A 24,551-nucleotide genomic window follows, 5' to 3' on the forward strand; every position below is an offset into this window, starting at 1 on the left:
CATGCTGTCTTCCACGATGGTTGAACTACTTTACGCTCCTACCAACAGTGTAAAAGCGTTCCTTTTTCTCTGCAACCTTGACAGCATCTGTTGTTTCTTGACTTTTTAATAATAGCCATTCTGACTGGTGTGACGTGCTATCTCATTGTGGTTTTTATTTGCATTTCTCTGATGATCAGTGATGTTCAGCATTTTTTCATATGTTTGTTGGCTGCATGTATGTCTTCTTTTGAGAAGTGTCTGTTCATGTCCTTTGCCCACGTTTTAATGGTTATATCTTTTCTTGTAAATTTGCTTACGTTCCTTGCAGACTCTGGATGTTAGACCGTTGCTAGATGGATAGATTGAAAAAGCATTTCTCCCATCCTGTAGGTTGTCTGTTCACTCTGATGATAGTTTCTTTTGCTGTGCAGAAGCTCTTTAGTTTATTTAGATCCCATTTGTCAGTTTTTGCTTTTGTTGCAATTGCTTTGGGTGTTTTCATCATTAAATCTTTGCCCATGCCTATGTCCTGGATGGTATTATCTAGATTTTCTTCTAGGGTTTTTATAGTTCTGGGTTTTACGTTTAAGTCTTTAATCCGTCTTGAGTTAATTTTTGCATATGGTGTGGGGAAGGGGTCCAGTTTCAGTTTTCTGCCTATGGCTAGCCAGTTCTTTCAGCATCATTTATTAAATAAGGAATTCTTTCCCCATTGCTAATTTTTGTCAGGTTTGTCGAAGATCAGTTGGTTGTAGGTGTGTGGTCTTATTTCTGCATTCTCTATTCTGTTCCATTGGTCTGTGTGTCTGTCCTTGTACCAGTACCATGTGGTTTTGTTTACTGCAGTCTTGTAGTATAGTTTAAAGTCAGGTAGCAGCTTTGGTCTTTTTGCTTAGGATTGTCTTGGCTATTCGGGCTCTTTTTTGGTTCCCTATGAATTTTAAAGTCGTTTTTTTTTTTTTTTCTCTATTTCTGTGAAGTCTGTCAATGGTAGTTTAATGGAAATAGCATTGAATCTAGAAATTACTTTGGGCAGTATGGCCGTTTTTATGATATTGATTCTTCCTGGCCATGAGCATGGAATGCTTTTCTATTTTTTTTGTGTTCTCTCTGATTCCTTTGAGAAGTGGTTTGTGGTTCTCCTTAAAGAGGTCCTTCATTTCCCTTGTTAGCTGTGTTTCTAGGTATTTCCGTCTTTGTGTAGAAATTGTGAATGGGAGTTCAATCATGATTTGGCTCCCTGCTTGCCTATTGTTGGTGTATAGGAATGCTAGCCATTTTTGCATATCCATTTTGCAGAATAGACATCCTTTTCAAGCACACCTGGAACATTCTCCAGGACAAGTTACATGTTACACCACAAACCAAGTCTTAACAAATTTAAGAAGATTGAAATAATAGCAAACCTCTTTTTCAATCAGAATAAGATGGATCTAGAAATTAATAACAACAGGACAATTGGAAAATACACAAATATGTGGAAACAAAACAACACACACATGAATAAGCAATGGATCAAAAAAGGGAAATCATGAAATATCTTGAGACAAATGAAACTGAAAACACGATATAGCAACACATAAGGGATACCGTGAAGGCAGTTTCTTTTCCGAATTTCAACTTTTGTTTAAGATACAGGGAGATACAGGGGTTACATGTGTAGGATTGTTACATGGCAATTTTGGACCCAGGTAGTGAGCCTAACGTTCAATAAGTAGTTTTTCAACCAACATTCCATTCCCTACCACCTACCTCTAGGAGTCCACAGTGTCTATATTTCTCGTGTTCATGTTCATGTTCCCATGCTCAGTGTTAAGCTCCCACTTATCCATGAAAACATGTGGAATTTTGTTGTTTCTTCTTGTGTTAACTCCCTTATGATTATGGCCTCCCCCTGCATCCATGTTGCTGCTAAAAAGAAAAAGAAAAAAGATTTTATTACATTTTTATGGCTGCATAGTATTCCATGGTATATATATGTACCACATTTTCCTTATCCAATCTACCGTTGATTGTCATCTGGGTTGATTCCATGTCTTTGCTACTGTGAATAGCACAGCAATGAACATAAGAGTGCATATGCCTTTCTGGTAGAATGATTTATTTTCCTTTGGGTACATAGCCAGTAATTGAACTGCTGCATCAAAGGGTAACTCCGTATTGAGATGTTTGAGAAATCTCCAGAGTGTTTTCCACAGTGGCTCTACTAACTTACATTTCCACCAGGAATGCATAAGTGTTCCCTTTTCTCTGCAGCCTCACCAGCATCTATTGTTTTTTGACTTTTTAATACCCATTCAGACTCGTGTGAGATGTTGTCTCAATTTGGTTTTCATTTGCATTTCTCTGATGATTAGTGATGCTGAGCATTTTCCATGAGTTTTTGTTGCTTATATGTCTTCTTCTGAGAAGTGTCTGTTCAATGTCATTGCCAATTTTTTTTTATTATACTTTAAGTTCTAGGGTACACGTGCACAACGTGGAGGTTTGTTACATATGTATACATATGCCATGTTGGTGTGCTGCACCCATTAACTCGTTATTTACATTAGGTATATCTCCTAATGCTATCCCTCTCCCCTCCCCCCACCCCACAACAGGCCCCGGTGTGTGATGTTCCCCTTCCTGTGTCCAAGTGTTCTCATTGTTCAATTCCCACCTATGAGTGAGAACATGTGGTGTTTAGTTTTCTGTCCTTGTGATAGTTTGCTGAGAATGATGGTTTCCAGCTTCATCCATGTCCCTACAAAGGACATGAACTCATCCTTTTTTATGGCTGCATAGAATTCCATGGTGTATATGTGCCACATTTTCTTAATCCAGTCTATCATTGATGGACATTTGGGTTGGTTCCAAGTCTTTGCTATTGTGAATAGTGTCGCTGTCATTGCCAATTTTTAATGGAGTTATTTGTTTCTTCTTAATGATTTTTTTAAAGTTCTCTATAGATTCTAGATATTAGGCCATCGTAGAATGCATAGTTTGTGGATGTTTTCTCCCATTCTGTATGTTGTCTGTTTACTGTGTTGATAGTTTCTTTTGCTGTGTATAAGCTCTTTATTTTAATTAGGTCTCATATATCTGTTTCTGTTATTGTTGCAACTGCTTTTGGGGACTTGGCCAAAAATTCTTTGCCAAAGCCAATGTCAAGAAGAGTATTGCCTGGGTTGTCTCCTAGGACTTCTGTAGTTTGAGGTCCTACATTTAAATCTTTAACTCATCTTGAGTTAACTTTTGTATATGGTGAAAAGCAAGGGTCCAGCTTTACCTGCCTGTGGCTAGTCAGTTATCTCAGCACCATTTCCTGAATAAAGAGTCGTTTTCCCATTGCTTGTTTTTATCATCCTTCTTGAAGATCACACGGCAGTAGGTGTTTCATTTTATTTCTAAATTTTCTGTTCTTTTCTTTCCATTAGTCTATGTGTCTGATTTTGTACCAGAACCATGCTGTTTACATTACTGTAACTTTGTAGTATCATTTGAGGTCAGGTAGTGTGATGCATCCGGCTTTGTTCTTTTGCTTAAGATGTCTTTGGCTATTTAAGGTCTTTTTTGGTTCTGTCTGAATGTTAGAAAAAGTTTTTCTAATTCTGTGGAGAATGACATTGGTCATTTGATAGAAATAGCATTGAATTTGTAAATTACTCTGTGTCATGTTGACATTTTAATGATATTGATTCTTCCAGTCCATGAGCATATATTTTTGTTTTGTTTTGTTTCTGTCATCTCTGATTTTTTAAAATAGTGTTTTGTAGTTATTCTTATGGTAATCTTTCACCTTCTTGGTTAACTGTATTCCTAGGTACTCTGTTTTCTCTGAGCCTACTATAAGGGAACTTCCGTTTTTGATTTCACTCTCAGCCTACGTGTTGTTGGTAAAAATGCTACTGATATTTTTGTACATTGGTTTTGTATCCTGAATCTTTACAGAAGTAGCTGATCAGTTCTAGGAACCTTTTGGCATAGCCTTTAGGATTTTCTACGTATGGAATCATATTGTCAGGGAAGAGAGATGGTTGGACTTTTTCTTTTCCTATTTGGATGCCTTTTATTTCTTTCTCTTTTCTGATTGCTCTGGCTAGGGCTTCCAGTACTGAATAGGAGTAGTGTGAGTAGATATCTTTGTCTTGTTCCACTTCTCAAGGAGAATTGTTCCAGCCTTTTCTCACTCATATAATGTTGGCTATGGGTTTGTCAGAGACAGCTTTTATTATTTTGAGGTATATTCCCTTGATGCCTAGTCTGTTGAGGTTTTTTTTTTTTTATCATGAACAGATATTGAATTTTATTGAAAGCTTTTACTGCATCTATTTCAATGATCACATTGTCTTTGCTTTAAATTCTGTTTATGTGCTAAAGCACATTTATAATTTGCATAAGTTGAATCATCCTTTCATCCCAGGAATAATGCTTACTTGATTATGGTGTACTAACTTTTTGAGGTGTTGCTCTGCTGCTGGATTTGGTTTGGTATTATTTTGTTGAGCATTTTTACATCTATGTTCACAATGAATATTGGTCTGAGATTTCTTTTGTGTGTGTGCGTGTCTCTGTCAGATTATGATACAGGTCTGATGCTCATTTCATAGAATAAGTTAAAAAGGAGCCCTTCTTTCTCAAATTTTTGAGATAGTTTCAGCAGGGTTAGTACCAGTTCTTCTTCGCATGTCTGGTATCCCTCTTTTTCTTTGTTAACCTAAGAAAGGGTCTATCAATCGTATCTATTTTTCTGAAGATCCAATTCTTGGTTTCACTGATAGTTTGTATAGATTTTTGCAATTCAAATTTATTAAGTTATTCTTTTTTATTTTTTTTATTATACTTTAAGTTTTAGGGTACATGTGCACAACGTGCAGGTTAGTTACATACGTATACATGTGCCATGTTGGTGTGCTGCACCCATTAACTCGTCATTTAACATTAGGCATATCTCCTAATGCTGTCCCTCCACCCTCCCCCCTCCCCACAACAGGCTCTGGTGTGTGATGTTCCCCTTCGGGTGTCCATGTGTTCTCACTGTTCAATTCCCACCTATGAGTGAGAACATGTGGCAGTTTGTCCTTGCAATAGTTTGCTGAGAATGATGGTTTCCAGCTTCATCCATGTCCCTACAAAGGAAAGGAACTCATCATTTTTTATGGCTGCATAGTGTTCCACGGTGTGGTGTATATGTGCCACATTTTCTTAATCCAGTCTATCATTGTTGGACATTTGGGTTGGTTCCAAGTCTTTGCTGTTGTGAATAGGGCCGCAATAAACATACGTGTGCATGTGTCTTTATGGCAGCATGATTTATAATCCTTTGGGTATATACCCAGTAATGGCATTGCTGGGTCAAATGGTATTTCTAGTTCTAGATCCCTGAGGAATCGCCACACTGTCTTCCACCATGGTTGAACTAGTTTACAGTCCCACCAACAGTGTAAAAGTGTTCCTATTTCTCCACATCCTCTCCAGCACCTGTTGTTTCCTGACTTTTTAATGATCGCCATTCTAACTGGTGTGAGATGGTATCTCATTGTGGTTTTGATTTGCATTTCTCTGATGGCCAGTGATGATGAGCATTTTTTCATGTGTCTTTTGGCTGCATAAATGTCTTCTTTTGAGAAGTGTCTGTTCATATCCTTCGCCCACTTTTTGATGGGGTTGTTTGTTTTTTTCTTGTAAATTTGTTTGAGTTCATTGTAGATTCTGGATATCAGCCCTTTGTCAGATGAGTAGATTGCAAAACTTTTCTCCCATTCTGTGGGTTGCCTGTTCACTCTGATGGTGGTTTCTTTTGCTGTGCAGAAGCTCTTTAGTTTCATTAGATCCCATTTGTCAATTTTGGCTTTCGTTGCCATTGCTTTTGCTGTTTTAGACATGAAGTCCTTGCCCATGCCTATGTCCTGAATGGTGTTGCCTAGGTTTACTTCTAGGGTTTTTATGGTTTCAGGTCTAACATTTATGTCTTTAATCCATCTTGAATTAATTTTTGCATAATGTGTAAGGAAGGGATCCAGTTTCAGCTTTCTACATATGGCTAGCCAGTTTTCCCAGCACCATTTATTAAATAGGGACTCCTTTCCCCATTGCTTGTTTTTGTCAGGTTTGTCAAAGATCAGATGGTTGCAGATATGTGGCATTATTTATGAGGGCTCTGTTCTGTTCCATTCGTCTATATCTCTGTTTTGGTACCAGTACCATGCTGTTTTGGTTACTGTAGCCTTGCAGTAGAGTTTGAAGTCAGGTAGCGTGATGCCTCCAGCTTTGTTCTTTTGGCTTAGGATTGACTTGGCGATGCGGGCTCTTTTTTGGTTCCATATGAACTTTAAAGTAGTTTTTTTTTTTCCAATTCTGTGAAGAAAGTCATTGGTAGCTTGATGGGGAAGGCATTGAATCTATAAATTACCTTGGGCAGTATGGCCATTTTCACGATATTGATTTTTCCTACCCGTGAGCATGGAATGTTCTTCCATTTGTTTGTATCCTCTTTTATTTCACTGAGCAGTGGTTTGTAGTTCTCCTTGAAGGGGTCCTTCACATCCCTTGTAAGTTGGATTCCTAGGTATTTTATTCTCTTTGAAGCGATTGTGAATGGGAGTTCACTCATGTTTTGGCTCTCTGTTTGTCTGTTATTTGTGTATAAGAATGCTTGTGATTTTTGCACATTGATTTTGTATCCTGAGAGTTTGCTGAAGTTGCCTATCAGCTTAAGGAGATTTTGGGCTGAGATGATGGGGTTTTCTAGATATACAATCATGTCATCTGCAAACAGGGACAATTTGACTTCTTCTTTTCCTAATTGAATACCCTTTATTTCCTTCTCCTGCCTGATTGCCCTGGCCAGAAATTCCAACACAGTGTTGAATAGGAGTGGTGAGAGAGGGCATCCCGGTCTTGTTCCAGTTTTCAAAGGGAATGCTTCCAGTTTTTGACCATTCAGTATGATATTGGCTGTGCGTTTGTCATAGATAGCTCTTATTATTTTGAGATAAGTCCCATCAATACCTAATTTATTGAGAGTTTTTAGCATGAAGGTTGTTGAATTTTGTCAAAGGCCTTTTCTGCATCTATTGAGATAATCATGTGGTTTTTGTCGTTGGCTCTGTTATTCTCTAATTTTAGTTTTTTCTTTTAATTTTCTGCTGGATTTTGGGTTGGTTTGTTCTTTCCTTTCTAGTTCCTTTATGTGAAAAGTTAGATTGATAACTTGAAACATTTCTAACATTTTGATGAAGACGTTTAGATCTATACATTTTGCTCTTAACAAACACTGATTTGGCTGCATCCCAGAGATTTCAATAAGTTGTGTTCCTGTTTTTATTAATTTAATTTTTGTTAAATTTCTGCCATAATTTTGATGCTGTTCAAGAGTAAGTTGTTTTATTTTCAGGTGTGCATGTAGTTTTGAGAGGTCTTCTTGACTTTGATTTCTATTTTTATTGCACTGTGGTCTGAAAGTATGCTTGGTATGATTTCAAAATTTTTGAATTTATTGAGGCTTTCTTTATGACTGAACATGTGGTCAATCTTAGAAAGTATTTTATGTGCAGATGGGAAGAATGTATTTTTTTTTTTATTGTTGGATGAATGTTCTGCAGATGTCTATTAGGTCAATTAGTCAGGTGACTGGTTCAAGTCCAGAGTTTACCATTTCCTACCTTGATGATATGCCTACTGCTGTCAGTGGGATGTTGAAGTCCTTCACTACTATTGTGTGGTTGTATAAGTCTTTTTGTAGGCCAAGAAGAACTTGTTATATGAAACTGCGTGCTCTAATGTTGGGTATGTATATATTTAGGATGATAGTTGAAGCTTCTTGTTGGATTGTAGTCTTTATCATTATGTAATGTCCTTCTTTACTCTTCTTATCTTTTATTGGTTTAAAGTCTGTTTTATCTGATATAAGAACAGCGACTCCTGCTCTTTTAATTTTGCATTTGCATGGCAGATATTACTCTCCCTTTTTACATTGAGCCTTTACGTGTTTCTACATGTGAGATAGGTCTCACGAGGACAACAAATGATTGAGTTTTGTTTTTTTTTTTTAATCCAGCCTTCCATGCTGTGTCTTTTAAGTGGGATATCTGGCCCTTTTACATTCAAGGTTACTGTTGATATATGTGATTTTGATCATCTCGTCATTTTCTTAGCTGGCCGTTATGTAGACTTGATGACGTAGTTGCTTTACAGTGTCTGTGTGCTATGTGCTGAAGTGTGCTTTTGTGGTAACAGGTATTGTTCTTTCGAATCCACGTTTTGCACTCCCTTAAGGGCCTCTTGTAATGCTGATCTGGTTGAAATGTATTCCCCCAACATTTGCTTGAATGAAAAGGATTTTATTTCTCCTTCACTTAGGAAGTGTAGTTTGACAAAATATAAAATCATTGGTTGATTTTTTTTTTCCTTGGAGATGTTCAAAATATGCGCCCAATCTCTTCTGTATTGCAAGGTTTCTACTGAGAGGTCTACTGCTAGCCTGATGGGGTTCCCTCTGTAGGTGACCAGCCCCTTCTCTCTAGCTGCCTTTAATTTTTTTCTTTGGCATTGACCTTGGTGAACCTGATTACCATGTGCCTTGGGGATGGTTGTCTTGTATAGTATCTGCCTGGAGTTCTCTGTATTTCTTGGATTTGCATGTAAACCTCTCTAGTGAGAGGAAGATAATTTTCATAGACTATAACTTCAAATATATTTTCCAAGATGTTTATTCTCTCTCCTATCTCAGGGATGCTGATTAATCATCGATTGAGTCTCTTCACATAATTCCATATTTCTCAGAGGTTTTGTTCATTTTTGTTAGTTTTTTTCTCTTTAATTATTTATTTGTTTTTGACTAAGTTGATTTGAAGAACTGGTTTTCAAGCTCTGAGATTTCTTTCTCAGCTTGGTTTATTCTGGTATTAATACTTCTGATTGTGTTATAAAATTCTTGCAGTGAATCCTTTCAACTCAAGAAGTCTAGCCTGGGATTGGCTTAAAATGGCTATTTTGTCTTTCAGCTCTTGAATCATTTCACTGGATTACTTGGTTTTCTTAGATTGGGTTTCAGCTTTATACTGAATCTTGAAGAGCGGCCTTGCCATCCAGATAATTCCATGTCTGTCATTTCATTTATTTCAGACTGGTTAAGAGCCATTACTGGTCTCATTTTAATTTTATTATTATTATACTTTAAGTTTTAGGGTACATGTGCACAATGTGCAGGTTTGTTACATATGTATACATGTGCCATGTTGGTGTGCTGCACCCATCAACTCGTCATTTAGCATTAGGTATATCTCCTAATGCTATCCCTCCACCCTGCCCCCACCCCACAACAGTCCCCGGAGTGTGATGTTCCCCTTCCTGTGTCCATGTGTTCTCATTGTTCAATTCCCTCCTATGAGTGAGAACATGCAGTGTTTGGTTTTTTGTCCTTGCGATAGTTTGCTGAGAATGATGGTTTCCAGTTTCATCCATGTCCCTACAAAGGACATGAACTCTTCATTTTTTATGGCTGCATAGTATTCCATGGTGTATATGTGCCACATATTCTTAATCCAGTCTATCATTGTTGGACATTTGGGTTGGTTCCAAGTCTTTGCTATTGTGAATAGTGCCGCAATAAACATACATGTGCATGTGTCTTTATGGCAGCATGATTTATAATCCTTTGGTTATATACCCAGTAATGGCATTGCTGGGTCAAATGGTATTTCTAGTTCTAGATCCCTGAGGAATCGCCACACTGACTTCCACAATGGTTGAACTAGTTTACAGTCCCACCAACAGTGTAAAAGTGTTCCTATTTCTCCACATCCTCTCCACCACCTGTTGTTTCCTGACTTTTTAATGATCGCCATTCTAACTGGTGTGAGATGGTATCTCATTGTGGTTTTGATTTGCATTTCTCTGATGGCCAGTGATGATGAGCATTTTTTCATGTGTTTTTTGGCTGCATAAATGTCTTCTTCGGAGAAGTGTCTGTTCATATCCTTTGCCCACTTTTTGATGGGGTTGTTTGTTTTTTTCTTGTAAATTTGTTTGAGTTCATTGTAGATTCTGGATATTAGACCTTTGTCAGATGAGTGGGTTGCGAACATTTTCTCCCGTTCTGTAGGTTGCCTGTTCACTCTGATGGTAGTTTCTTTTGCTGTGCAGAAGCTCTTTAGTTTAATTAGATCCCATTTGTCAATTTTGGCTTTCGTTGCCTTTGCTTTTGCTGTTTTAGACATGAAGTCCTTGCCCATGCCTATGTCCTGAATGGTGTTGCCTAGGTTTACTTCTAGGGTTTTTATGGTTTCAGGTCTAACATTTATGTCTTTAATTCATCTTGAATTAATTTTTGTGTAACGTGTAAGGAAGGGATCCAGTTTCAGCTTCCTACATATGGCTAGCCAGTTTTCCTAGCACCATTTACTAAATAGGGACTCCTTTCCCCATTGCTTGTTTTTGTCAGGTTTGTCAAAGGTCAGATGGTTGTAGATATGCGGCTTTATTTCTGAGGGCTCTGTTCTGTTCCATATGTTCTGTATCTCTGTTTTGGTACCAGTACCATGCTGTTTTGGTTACTGCAGCCTTGTAGTATAGTTTGAAGTCAGGTAGCGTGATGCCTCCAGCTTTGTTCTTTTGGCTTAGGATTGACTTGGCGACGCGGGCTCTTGTTTGGTTCCACATGAGCTTTAAAGTAGTTTTTTCCAATTTTGTGAAGAAAGTCATTGGTAGCTTGATGGGGACGGTATTGAATCTATTAAATTACCTTGGGCAGTATGGCCATTTTCACGATATTGATTCTTCCTACCCATGAGCATGGAATGTTCTTCCATTTGTTTCTATCCTCTTTTATTTCATTGAGCAGTGGTTTGTAGTTCTCCTTGAAGAGGTCCTTCACATCCCTTGTAAGTTGGATTCCTAGGTATTTTATTCTCTTTGTAGCAATTGTGAATGGGAGTTCACTCATGATTTGGCTCTCTGTTTGTCTGTTATTCGTGTATAAGAATGCTCGACACTCTGGCTTTTTGCATTCTCAGAGTTCTTGCATTTATTCTTCCTCATCTTGGGAGGCTCATATTTTTAACTGTGATGTAAATTGAGTATGGCTAGTTGGCTTTGTTTCTGGAAGTTTTCAGAGGACCAAGTCTCTGCACGGGGTGTTCGTTGTTGAATTCTTGCCCCTTCGGTTTCACAGCGAGTAGTTTTTTGCTCTTGTAGTTTTGTCTGTGTTCCAGTAGATGGCGCTTGAGAGCAATGGGCGGTAGGTAGGCTGTTAGTTGCGTGGTTTCTTTGTGCATCCTTGTGCTTGCAGTTCTGTTGTGAGGTGCGAGGGGAAGATAGTTAACCCTCTCGCCAGACCTGCTCCTGGGCCTTTCAGGAGCCACCTACAATCACTGGCACTGTGCCCACAATTTTGTTGTTATTGATGTTGTTGTCGGGTCTTTTGGGCCATGGGGGGGGGGCTCCTTTAAGGGGAAGTCCCCTTTCCCAGGCACTGTCCGGGGCTGGGAACCAGACTTGGTGTTCAGGTACTCCGTGCCGTGTTCCCAGTTTCCTCCCTTTACAGCCTCAGCATCTGCTTCTCTTCTCCGTCCACATTTGGCATTTTCTGTCCAAAGATCTGTTCAATTTATGTTGGTGTAGTTGAAATCATATTTTCTTTCCGTGGGAGCAGGACTTCTCAGCTGCATCTAGTCAGGCTGCTTGCTCAGAATTTTTTTGGATTTTTTGAGACTTGCTTTGTGGAGTAATATTTGGTCTATCCTGGAGAATATTCCATGTGCTGATGAGAAGTATGTGTATTCTGCAGCTGTTGCATGAAATGTTCTATAAATGTATATTAGGTTCACCTGATCTAGAGTGACGATTAAGTTGAACCTTTCTTTGTTGAGTTTCTGTCTGGTTGATCTGTGCAATGATTAAAATGAGGTGTTTAGGTCACCTGCTACCATTGTCTCTCTCTTTTTTAATAGTATTTTCTTTATATATCGGGGTTCCATACAACGGTTATATTCTCTTCCTGATTTGACCACTTTATCATCATGTAATGATCTTCTTTGTCTCTTTGTGTAGTTTTTGTCTTGAAATCTATTTTACCTGATATAAGTGCACTACTCCTAGTGTTATTTGATTCTGATTTCCATGGAATAACCATTTCTATTCCTTTATTTTTAATCTATGCATATCTTCACAGGTATAGCCACTTTCTTGTGGGCCGCATATAGCTGAATCTTGTTTTTTATCCATTCAGCTGTTCTTAACTTTTACTGAATAATTTAGTGTAAATTTAACCTGATTATTCATTGGTAAAGAGTAGTACTGCCACTTTTTTACTTTTTTTTTTTTTTTCCGTTGTCGGTGGTGCTCTCTTTTTTCTTGTCTTCCTTTGTGTAAAAAAGGATTTTATCTAGTAGCTTGTTTTGATTTCTTGATTTTCAATATTTAAATCTATGTTATAGGGGTTTGTTTGTGGTTGCCATGAAGCTGATGAATAACATCTTATAACCCATTTTTAAACTGATGACAACTCTGATTGCCAAAAAGAGCAAAACAAATAAGCAAAGAGAAAACTATGAAAACATTCTACACTTTAACTTCATTTCCTCTGATTTATGACTTTGTCTGTCTCTGTATCTTTTTATATTGTCTATCTATTGAAAGATGTTTGTCACTATCAGTTTTGGCAGTTTATTTGTCTTCCTGCTAAAGATATGAGTGGCTAAGACACTGCAATTGCAGTGTTATAGTATTGTGTACTTTTCTGTGTACTTGCTATTACTGACAGGTTTTATATCTTCAGATAATTTCTTTGTCATTTTGTAACTGCCTTTTCTTTCTGATTGAAGCACTCTCTTTACCATTTCTTGTAGGACAGGTCTGATGTAGACATGATCTCTCAGCTTTTGTTTGTCTGGGAAAGTGTTTATTTCTTCTTCATAGTTGAAGGATAATTTTGCTGAATACGATATTCCATGTTGGGATTTGTTTTTCTTCAGCATTTTGGATATGCTATCTCACTCTCCCCTGGTCTATAAGAATTCTGCTGAGAAGTCTGCTGCCATACATATTGGAGCTCCTTTATGTGCTATTTGTTTATTTTTCTCTTGGTGCTTCTAGTATCCTCTCTTTATCTTTGACTTTTGAGAATTTATTAAATGCCTGGAGATGTTTCATTTGGCTTTAATCCACTTGGTGTTCTAGGACCTTCTCGTACCTCGGTATTCCTATGATTCTTTAGGTTTGGATAATTGTCTGTTACTATATCTTTGAATAAACTTTATCCCCTTTCTCCCTACGTCTTGTTCAAGGCTAAGAACTCTTAGATTTGCCCCTTTGCAGGTATTTTCTATATCTCATAGTCATGCTTTAATTTTTAAATTATTTTTTCTCTTCTGTGTATTTTCATATAGCCTGTCTCTAAGCTTACTATTTTTTTTCTGCTTTATCAATTCTGCTGTTGCTAGGGTCTAATGCATTTTTTTCAGTATGTTAATTGTACTTTTCAGCTCCAGCATTTCTGCTAGATTTTTCATAGTTTCTCAGTCTCTTTTTACAATTCATCTAATAAAATTGTGACTCTATTGTCTGTATTATCTTAAAGTTTGTTGAGCTTCATCAAGGCAGGTATTTTGAACTCTCTGTCTGAATGGTCACATATATCTGACACTTCATAGTTGGTCACTGGTGCCTTACTTAGTTCATTTGGTGAGGTCATGTTTTTCTGTATGTTCTTGATGCTTGTGGATATTTTTCAGTGTCTGCTCATTGAAGAGTTAGGTATGTACTCTAATCTTAGTATTCTGCACTTATTTTTACCCATACTTCTCGAGAAGGCTGTTTACATATTCAAAGGGTATTTAGAGTGGTAATTTAACTTTGTGGTCACTGCAGCCATATCAGGATTGTAAGGCACACTAAGTTCTAAATTCAGTAACAGCGCAGCTCTTGCTGACTCCTTGAAGCACCATGTTGGTGGTGTTGGTTAAGTTAAGGGAAAATTTCCCGGGTTACCAGAAAAATTATCTCACTCTCTTCCCTCTCTTTGTCCTAATCAAAAGGAGTCTCTCTCTCTCTCTCTCTCTCTCTCTCTCTCCCTCTCTCTCTCTCTCTCTCTCTCTCTCTCCCTCTCCCTCTCTCTCTCTCTCTCTCTCTCTCTCTCTACATGCTGGGCTGCCTGAAGTTTTTGGAGGAGTGCCACAAGCCATCCCATGGCCACCGCAGGTAGCACTGCACTGGATGACACTTGAAGCCAGTACACTGTTGGATTGCACCCAAGGCTCATGGCAATGACTGCCTGGCTACTGCTTATGGTTATTCAAGGCCCAGAAGCTCTTATGTCTGAATGTGGTGAACTCTGTCAGAACTAAGTTTTATTTTTTTTTTAATTTCTTTCAGAACGGTGGATTTTCTTTTGGTCCAGAGTGGGTCTAGAAATGCTGTCCAGTAGCTAAGGCCTGGAATCTAGAGCTTCAGTAATCTGCTTGGTGCTTTATTTCAGTGTGACTAAACTGGTACCCGAGTTGCAAGATGAATTTCTCTGTACTCTTCCCTCTCATTTTCTAAAGTGGAAAAATTTTATCCCTGAGCTGCACTGCCTGGAACTGGGGAGCTGTTACACAGTCTTAATAAACTATTTTATTACCCTAGGCAATTGTCTGCTAGATAGTCCTAAGCTTGCATATTAAAGGAAATCTTACGTTAAAAAAAATATGGTAATGACATTTACATCTCATAGTACAGAGAGAAGTAGTCTGGTGCTAGAGGGAGATTAAAAATGGATGCCAAATAAAAATTATAGAAATCCGTCATAGGACTGTAAGGGGAGACCGGTTGTATTTAGATAGAGACTACCTATCTTTTAACTGTATCTCTGAGCTCTGGATAGGGCCCATACTGAATCCTGGGTCTCCAGACAGGGAGAATTATTATGAGGCTAGACCACATGATGCTTTTACAGTGCACTTTTAAAAACATTAACAAAGACCGTTCTAAATGTCTAAACTATCCTCTTTCTTAAGTACCCAAGAATAGCCTCCGTTACAATAACTATTTTAGTCAAAAAATCTGGTAACACAATGCAAAAGCAAGTACTTTATGATCTGAGACAAACTTTTCTCTTTACCCACTCTCGGGGTTCCATAAAGAAAAACAAGTTTCTCCCCAGAAAAGAGTCTGGTGCTTTGTCTGTTTTCTTCAGTGAATCCTGGGCTATTATAAGCTGTTTTAGGCCCCTCATGCAGCAGACGGAGGCAAGAGAAAGCAGAGACAGCAGAACTAAATGAAGACAATGAAATTCAATAAACTGAGAAAAAAATAATAAACTTCTGCTCAGAGGAGACAAGGTCTTAGGAGAGAAAAAAAACCATAAAGTCTTTTAATGCAAACATACACACACGTGCACATGTACACACACACACACACATGCACACATCTTGGATGTTAGCTTTTAATTAAGCTGACTTTTAACCATTGAGCTCCTTAAAATAATATTTTTAAATCTCATTGTTACTGTAAAGGAGTCCAGATCCAGACCCCAAGAAAGGGTTCTTGGATCTCATGCAAGAAATAATTTGAGGTGAATCCATAAAGTGAAAGCAAGTTTATTAATAAAGTTAACTAATGAAAGAATGTCTACTCCATAGGAAGAGTAGTGGCTTGGCCTGCTTCACTAAGGATACTTCCAGTTATTTCTTGATTATATGCTAAATAAGGGGTGGATTATTCATGAGTTTTCCAGAAAAGGGGTGGGCAATTCCCAGAACTGAGGGTTCCTACCATTTTTAAACCATATAGGGTAACTTCTTGATGTTGCCAAGGCATTTGTACATTGTCATTGCACTGGTGGGAGTGTCTTTTAACATGCTAATGCATTATAATTAGCATATAATGAGCAGTGAGGACAACCAGAGGACACTTTTGTTGGCATCTTGGTTTTGGTGTGTTTTGGCCAGCTTCTTTATCACAAACAGTTTTATCAGCCAAATCTTTATAATCTGTATCTTGTGGAGACTTCTTATCTCATCCTGTGAATTAGAATGCCTAACCTCCTGGGAATGCATCCCAGTAGGTCTCAGTCTTATTTTACACAGGGACTATTCAAGATGGAGTTTCTCTGGTTCAAATGCCTCTGACATATTTACCCCCTCCCTTTTATAAGAGAACCCTTAATCCTAAGGGCTGTAGAGAGAGGAAGATTCATCTTCTGTAACTTCTTCAGGCTGAACAGGGGGGATGATATTCATGCCTAACCTCTTGCATTCAGGTTAGAGAAGAGCTCAGTCAAAAAGCATCATTATGGTGAGGGCCATTCATAAGTCTTGAGTTATGACAAAAGGTGATATCTGGAAGATTAATAAGTGTTCAGTTTAAGAATACATTCAGTAAGAGAACCCTTAATCCTAAGGGCTGTAGAGAGAGGAAGATTCATCTTCTGTAACTTCTTCAGGCTGAACAGGGGGGATGATATTCATGCCTAACCTCTTGCATTCAGGTTAGAGAAGAGCTCAGTCAAAAAGCATCATTATGGTGAGGGCCATTCATAAGTCTTGAGTTATGACAAAAGGTGATATCTGGAAGATTAATAAGTGTTCAGTTTAAGAATACATTCAGTAAGAGAACCCTTAATCCTAAGGGCTGTAGAGAGTGGAAGATTCATCTTCTGTAACTTCTTCAGGCTGAACAGGGGGGATGATATTCATGCCTAACCTCTTGCATTCAGGTTAGAGAAGAGCTCAGTCAAAAAGCATCATTATGGTGAGGGCCATTCATAAGACTTGAGTTATGACAAAAGGTGATATCTGGAAGATTAATAAGTGTTCAATTTAAGAATACATTCAGTAAGCTTATCCTGCATTCCTACGCAAAGAGTACGACAGCACTATATTTCACAACAGTAAAACAAAATAAGTAAAATTATCCCAAGTAAACTAAATAAGAAGGCTTTTCATGAACTGGGAGACTTTGGAACCAAAGTGATATGGAGTTGCTATACATGCTATACATTCCAATATGTGCTCAGAATTAGAATATTGATCCAGATTTTTTACATTACCCACCTCTCTTGTTACTTTTGAACAGCCATAAGAGATCACTGGTTGGTTCACAGAAATAAGCAGGTTCAGTCTAAATCGTAGAAAGAAAACTCAAAAATAACTGATGAGATCACAATTTTATAACAAGTGTACCATTGTTTTTAAAATATGTTTTTTCTATCTCTCCATTCTCCCATTTTTACTAAAGACAAATCCTAACAGGGCTGATTTGTTTGCAAAAATACGCCATAGTCTTACACTTAGCCTGATTATTTGTGTAAAGTACAGCAAAAATAATCATTTTTCACATAGGCTTTTTAAATTGGCTTTGATTGGACTTTGTTCCACAAAAGGAATCTCAGATAAGGTTTTTTTCCAAAGCCAAGCCTAGCCATAGGTTTGTACTATCAAATATTTATCAGTTAGGTAAATTCCTCTTTTTTCGAGGTCCCAAGATAACCTAGGGCTCCTGGGCCTGTTAGAAAGTGACATTCTTTATTTACTACAGGTCAGGAACCCTGTACGGGACAGTGTAGACAGGGTATGAGGCCAGTTTTCCCAAGGGGCTTTTATTGGCCCTGTAAGCCAAATTCGATTCCTTAAAGGAAAGCATGCCATTCCAGTCAAAGCCTTGGTAAAATAACTGGTTTCTTTTATTTTGTCCTGTTACAAAAGAAAACATTCTTATTGCACTTATGCAAATAACTATATTGTCATAAGTTAAGAATACTCACAAATAGTTTCCAAATTCTGGAGAAATCAGGTAGAGAGAAACAAATATGCTCCAAATTTTGTTCACAGGAGTATATTTTACTTACTTGTTAAAAGCTGCAAATCACTCAAAAGAAAAGTTTTATTGGCTCTGAAAAACAAAACAGAGGATCCTTTTAAGCAAAAAGTCAAAAAGATTACTTTAGTCTTCTATTAGTCCAGTCCATGTTGTTAACTCCTGTTCTGCCTGATATTCGTGAACATTTCAGCACTCCAGGAGATCCTGAAAGTTTTTTCTTCTATTCTAACATCAAAATCTCCAAATTTATCAGAAACCTGCATTTAAGAACACCTATTAGAGTTCTGTAGCTGATTATGAAACCACCTCTAAAGAAAAAAAAAAAAAAAAAAAAAAAAAACAAGGCAACAATTGTCCCTGGATGACAAAACACTTTAGGGCAGTCTCTATTAAAGCCACAATTGACTAAGAATTTTGGTGACTTCTGTGGCATACAACAATTTTACATAACAATTATTATAACTATTAATAGCATACACTAAGTTATATCAGAGTTACAGAAGTTTCTAATAATTTTGGAACACCTACCAAAAACATATATTCACAAATACAGCCTAAAGAAAGAACTCTTAGGAACCATTGGTGGAAAAACCTGGATTGTAGGTGATTTTAACTATGTACTACCTTTGGAGCCTAGGACACAGAAAGAAGTGCAGATAAGGTTTGACTATCCAGCATAACTAGGAGGCATGGCTAACACCACATATCCCCAGGCTTTACCTAGAATCTGCTTCAAAGTAAGTAGGTTGAACAATTTTCAAAAATCAAAGAAGCCGTTTATGACCCTAACACATCTAGCAAACTTAATATTTAACCTACTTCAGACCAAATGTCTGAATTTTGAAGACATTTGAATTTTACCAATGATCTTCAAAACTGTTTTTATTTCTGAAACTTTACTAAAGTCACATGGACTAAAAGGCATTCATTCGTTTTTATTTTCTGATAGAATGTTAGATTTAAGCTCTTATGATTTTTGAAAACAATCAAAGCTCTTTCATATCACACACACACAACACATATAAATACATAGACAGAAATGTTCCAGTAGTTTTAAGATTTTTTATTTGCCAGGTTCTTAATCAGATTACTGCTTCAGGGTGGAGCCCTTGGAGGAACAGGGCCAGGAAAACATGCAGTTTCTATGGCTTAATAAATAGGCAGAGCTGGAAAGCAAAAAAGATCCCCCAAAATTTAAGGGTCCCATTTTATATCATATCTTAAATCCCAAAAAAGACAAATGCTACAGAACAAGACAGTGCAATGATTTTACTGTGCATTTCACTGCAAAGCAATTCAAAGCCACTCAACCTACTCTGTGATTACCCCATCTTCCATGGGAGTCTTAGGTCTCAGTGTGGGGCAGGGATGAGCACATTGCCATACCTTCTAGGTGGCCAAGAGCATGCTCCTCTGATCCAAACATGTGAAAAGCCAAGTATTCACCTTTAACTGTCATTAGCTATTCCCCAAAGCATATTTCCTACCCAGTTATTACACACCAAAGTTCTATTATAATGTGGAGCAATTTCTGATCCCCCCAAGGGTTAAAAACACCTGATAATGCAATGCAAAAGAGAAAAGAGCCTTAGATTGTGAAGGGATCTCTCCACTTCTGGTTCCTGGGGTTTCATGAGAAAAAAAAAAAAAAAGAGTTTTTTCCCAAAACAAGGTCTGTGGCACTACTTGTTGTTCACAAGGAGTCCCAGGCTTTTAGAGCTTGAATATCCTCTTTTAATTAGGCTGACTTTTAAATGTAATACTCTTTTTAAAAAGATCCTTTTAAATTTCTTATTACCCAAATTTAGCCAGGCCAAATGGCCAATATTTCTGTCCTCAAAGAAAGAAAAATTCAACATGGTTTGTGGAGGGGAAGATAATCAACAAATGGTAAATGTCATGCAGATATCAAACCAGAAAGGGCTTATTCCCTAAGCCAGGAATTGAACCCTGAACCTGTGCCACCACTGGAAAAACACAAAGCCTTAGCTGCTAAGCTGCAGAATTGGAAATATTTTATTGCTCTTCCCAGGAGACTAGAGCAGTCAATTTTGAGATTGCATTGGCTTTTAACTGCTCAATTTAATTTTCAGAGATAACTATGACATGTACCCCCAAATTCCTCTTCCCTGGATGGCAGAGACCAAGAGAAAGTACCACCACATGTATACAAGATATGGCAGAGACCAAGACAAAGCTCCCAAGGACATTTTTCAACATGCGATCTCTGGGCAAGAAGGTTCCCCTGAATGACAGAAAAGATAGGACAGGGAAAGAAGAGAAAGAGAGAAAAGCATTGCCTGAAGCAGAGTGGGGAAGGTGAGGAACTCAGGGAGGCCAGAGAAAGACCCACCCACTGCAGTTAGACTTAATCAAAAGTTCAAGCAGCTGCTTTTCAGTCACAAACGGATCTTACCCAGAAGTCCCATCAGCTCTCGAGTGTCTCCCTTTTGGGGAAAAATAGCTCGCCATGTCCTTTGATCCTGAATATGTTTAATTCTGTCTCCCGTAGCCATCAGCAAAGAGTGCAAGGCAGATAAGTCCAAAGAAAATAGCAGTTAACATCCAGTAGTGCCAAACCCACTTTTAGCCGAGAGGAACTTTACTGAGAGGGGCCTCCAACCCCATAAATCTTAGGAAGGGCTCTAACCTTCCTAAGTTGGGCCCCAAACAGGTTCAGTCAAGCACCCTTGCCTTTTATTAAGAGGGGGTCTTTAACCCTCTCTATCTTAGGGCAGACTCTAACTTTTCTAAGTTGGGTCTCTAACCCAATTCCATTCTTTACCGAGTTAAATGCGCCTCACTTACCCAAAGTTGGCCAAGTGGTGCTGCACACAGAAGATTTTCCTTTGGGTCGGGGGTCATTTCAGTATAATCCCTTAGTGGTTTGCCAGAAAGATGTTACCAGAAAGGAGTCTGAATCCAGACCCCAAGGGAGGGTTCTTGGATCTCACACAAGAAAGAAATCAAGGCAAGTCCATAAAGTAAACACAAATGTATTAAGAAAGTGAGGGAATAAAAGAATGGCTACTCCATAGGCAGAGCAGTGGCTTGCACTGCTCCATTAAGGATACTTCTAGTTATTTCTCAATTATATGTTAAACGTGGGCTGGATTATTCATGAGCTTTCTGGGAAAGGGATGTGTGCTTCTAGGAACTGAGGGTTCCTCCCCTTTTTAGACCATATAGAGTGACTTCCTGACATTGTCATGACATTGGTAAACTGTCATGGTGCTGTTGGGCGTGGCTTTTAGCATGCTAATGTATTATAATTAGCATATAATGAGCAGTGAGGACAACCAGAGGTCACTTTCATCCCCAAATTGGCTTTGGTGGGTTTTGGCCGGCTTTTTTTGCTGCAACCTGTTTTATCAGCAAAGGAAGACTTTATAACCTGTATCTTGTGCTGACCTACTAGATCATCCTGTGACTTAGAATGCCTAACCTCCTGGGAATTCAGCCCAGTAGGTCTCAGTCGTATTTTACCCATCCCCCATTTTAGATGGAGTTGCTCTGGTTTAAACACCTCTGACATCATTACCACATTTTAGCTAGGACAGATTGTTGATATTTCAGAGGTAACAAGTATCAAAACACAAAGGTCTTGATTTAGGAAGCAAACTCAGGCTGTCATAGGGAAAATAAGAAAGAAAGGAGAACCTCAGCTATGAAACTGCAGCATGGGGTGACAGCCCTTGCTCTTTCAGTTTGGTTTGTCTAGCAAAAAGATGGGCTTATTATGTAAATAAAGCCAGTTAAGTAGTCAAAATAAAAAATCGTTTTTGTTGTTTGCTGTTTTTCTCCCAACCCATTCCCCATCTTTTTTATTTTTATTTTTTGTGTGTGGAAATTTAGCCACTTCAGAGGCCTTGTTCTCCATAATTTGGAACTTTCCTTTGGATTTGATCAAGTCGGATAGAGTTGGTCAAACCCAATGGGAAAAAGACCAAATCAACAACAAATACAGAAACAAACAAAGAACAACAAGAAACCATTAAGCAAAACAAATGATCTCCCAATTTATCTGATTACTGAGTGCTCTAATGTTAAGGAGAAATTAAGACCAGCTTGTTGTTAGTCTTAACTTTAGCCAAGAAAAATACCCCAATTCAGCTACATACCTAGGGATGGATCTCAGGCTGAAGACTGTTCTCTACCATCCTAGAAGCAGGAAAAAACTTAAACTTTTCTCCCGTTGGAAACAAGCTCAAACTCCAGAAAGGAGTTACCTGCCTTTCATCATCATGGAAACAGGAAAACTTGCCTTCCTTATTGGAAGCAAGTAAAACTCCAAAAAAAAGGAGCTGTACAGCAAAATACACTTTAGACTTTAACCAAATTATTGAAGATCAGGGATTCTCTGGAAGCACGGGGGAAGTTGGCGGGGAGGGGGAAGGTGGCTTCCAGACCTCAGCAAAATGTTCTATTAGTTTGAGCCTTAAGGATAGCTCAAGCTGGTACCGGACACCAATAGGAGTTTTGTCAATGTCAGGGCACCTCCACTAAGAATCCCTTAATGGTTACCAAACTGTGAACCCCAAATATCTGAGACTGATCTCAGCAAATTTAGAAAGTTTATTTTGCCAAGTGAGAACATGTGCCGTAACACAGCCTCAGGAGGTCCTGAAGACATGTGCCCAGGTAGTCAGGGAACGGTTTGGTTTTATACATTTTAGGGAGACATGAGAATTAAATCAATATATGAAAGATGAACATTGGTTAGGTCCAAAAAAGGTGGGATGACTAGAATTGAGGAGTGGGCTTCCAGGTCATAGGTAGATAAGAGACAAAGGTTGAATTCTTTTGAGTTTCTCATAAGCTTTTCCAACAGAGGCAATCAGATATGCATTTACCTCAGTGAGCAGAAGGATGACTGAATAGAATGGGAGGCAGGTTTGCCCTAAGCAGTTTCTAGCTTGACTTTCCCTTTAGCTCAGTGATTTGGGGGTCCCACGATTTATTTTTCTTTTGCACTACAGTACACCTGTTGTTAGATTCTAGTCTTGCCTCATGTTTTTGAATTTTTATTATTTTCTACAGCATGGACTGAATTCTAAAATTTTTCCTGGCTACAAGTCTTCAAAATAATACTTACAATTTTATTTTCTTTCCTTCCCCCTCCCAACTTTTCCTGATTTGAAATCACCAAAAATTAACCTGTGCTTTCTTTAAGCCCTGCAAACTGAAGCGAGAAAAGGTAAACTTCAGAAGAAAATGAAATGGCAGCAACCTACTTACATATATAAACCACTTGCATACCTGCCTACTGATGTATGAACTTCAGAGTAAGATGGCCTATATTGATTTTTCAGGATTGCTCTTCATATTTTTTTTGCTGTTGTTTTTCTCCCTTCTTCCTCCTGTTTTTTCTTTGTAGAACGTAAGAATTCACAACCTACTAAAAATGACCTTTCCTGATAACGTGAGACCTACCTGTCTAGGAAAAAACCATCCTAGCCATGAGGCAAATCTGGAACAAAAAAAACCTCTTTTTCTTCTAAAATGCTTTCTCCAAAAGATTTTAAAAAGGGGTTAAATGTCAAAGGAAAATAAATCTTGGGACCCCCCCCACCCCCGGCAAATCACTAAGCCAATAAAAACATCAAGCTGGGGACTATGTCAGGCAAATCTGTCTCCCATTTTATTCCTAAACAAGATAGCTACAAAGATTAAAAACAAAAAAAAAAAGCTACATATCTCCCTCATTATTTGCCCACAAAGAAATTATTTGTGGACAAAGGACAGACAGACCTCAAAGTCATCCCTCTTAGGCCAAGGGCATGTCTGATTTCTTCCTCTACCCTATTGTTTTACTAAGGTCAGACTAAGGGATAAGTGACTATTACTATACCTCCTCTCACATGTAAATTGCGTATTTGGTAAAAGGCTAATCAGAGACTCAAAGGAATGCAACCTTTTGTTTCTTATTTATCTATGACCTGGAAGTCACCTCCCCCTCCTCCAGTTTTCCTGCCTTTCTGGACAGAACCAGTGTACATCTTACAAATACAGATTGATGTCTCCTGTCTCCCTAAAATGTGTGAAACCAAGCTGTGCCCAGACAACCTTGGGCACAAGTCATTAGGACCTCTTGAGGCTGTTTCATGGGCATGTCCTTAACCTTGGCAAAGTAAACTCTCTAAATTGGTTGAGACCTGTCTCAGGTATTTTGGGTTCACACTTTAAACCGCGAGTGGTTTATGGGTTAAATCCTTAAGAAGTTACTGGGCCTTAGGACAATAGATGGAACAAGTCTCTTCCTCCAGCTGATAACTAGTTCCTCCTTGTTGGTCTTTTCCTTTTGGCTTTTCTATTTTATTATTTTGCATGTAGTTACTGGCAATGTAGTGGGTACATTATCCCAGTTATCCCAGTTCCTATTATGGTGACACAGTTCTACTTCTTAAAAAAGGGTGCTGGTTGTTTTCCCATGATTTTCCTTGCCAGCTCAGCTTAACTTATTTCCCCTGGGGAGTTTGAGCTTTTAAATCCCTTCTGAGTGGCACCCTGGTGAGAAATTGTCAAAGACAGGGCCCAACATATGTCTCACGGTTTGCAACATTTTTTCTTTTTTTTTTTTTTTTTTTTTTTTTTTTTTTTTTTTTTTTGAGACGGAGTCTCGCTCTGTCGCCCAGGCTGGAGTGCAGTGGCGCGATCTCGGCTCACTGCAAGCTCCGCCTCCCGGGTTCACGCCATTCTCCTGCCTCAGCCTCCCGAGTAGCTGGGACTACAGGCGCCCGCTACCACGCCCGGCTAATTTTTTGTATTTTTAGTAGAGACAGGGTTTCACC

At 38.4% G+C, this 24,551-nt stretch overlaps 1 long non-coding RNA gene across 7 annotated transcripts in view; it reads right to left on the reverse strand.

Annotated features, from left to right (window-relative positions):
* Nucleotides 1-1,085: 1,085 nt before the first annotated feature.
* Nucleotides 1,086-24,551, reverse strand: part of LOC105377212 (uncharacterized) — a 54,563-nt gene continuing 31,097 nt past the window's right edge. For 2 of the 7 annotated variants that reach the window (XR_001755867.2, XR_007068256.1), the window contains 3 exons: nucleotides 17,789-17,832; nucleotides 16,995-17,061; nucleotides 15,524-16,736 (listed from right to left, as the gene is read on the reverse strand). This is a non-coding gene — a long non-coding RNA (uncharacterized LOC105377212). Of the gene's footprint in view, nucleotides 1,894-15,523; nucleotides 16,737-16,994; nucleotides 17,833-20,176; nucleotides 21,046-24,551 lie in introns of those variants that run through there. The other 5 variants (XR_007068254.1, XR_007068253.1, XR_938416.2 and 2 more) reach the window with 4 other exon arrangements.

This window comes from Homo sapiens, chromosome X, assembly GCF_000001405.40.
Source record: "Homo sapiens chromosome X, GRCh38.p14 Primary Assembly".
Classification (NCBI taxonomy): Eukaryota; Metazoa; Chordata; class Mammalia; order Primates; family Hominidae; genus Homo; species Homo sapiens.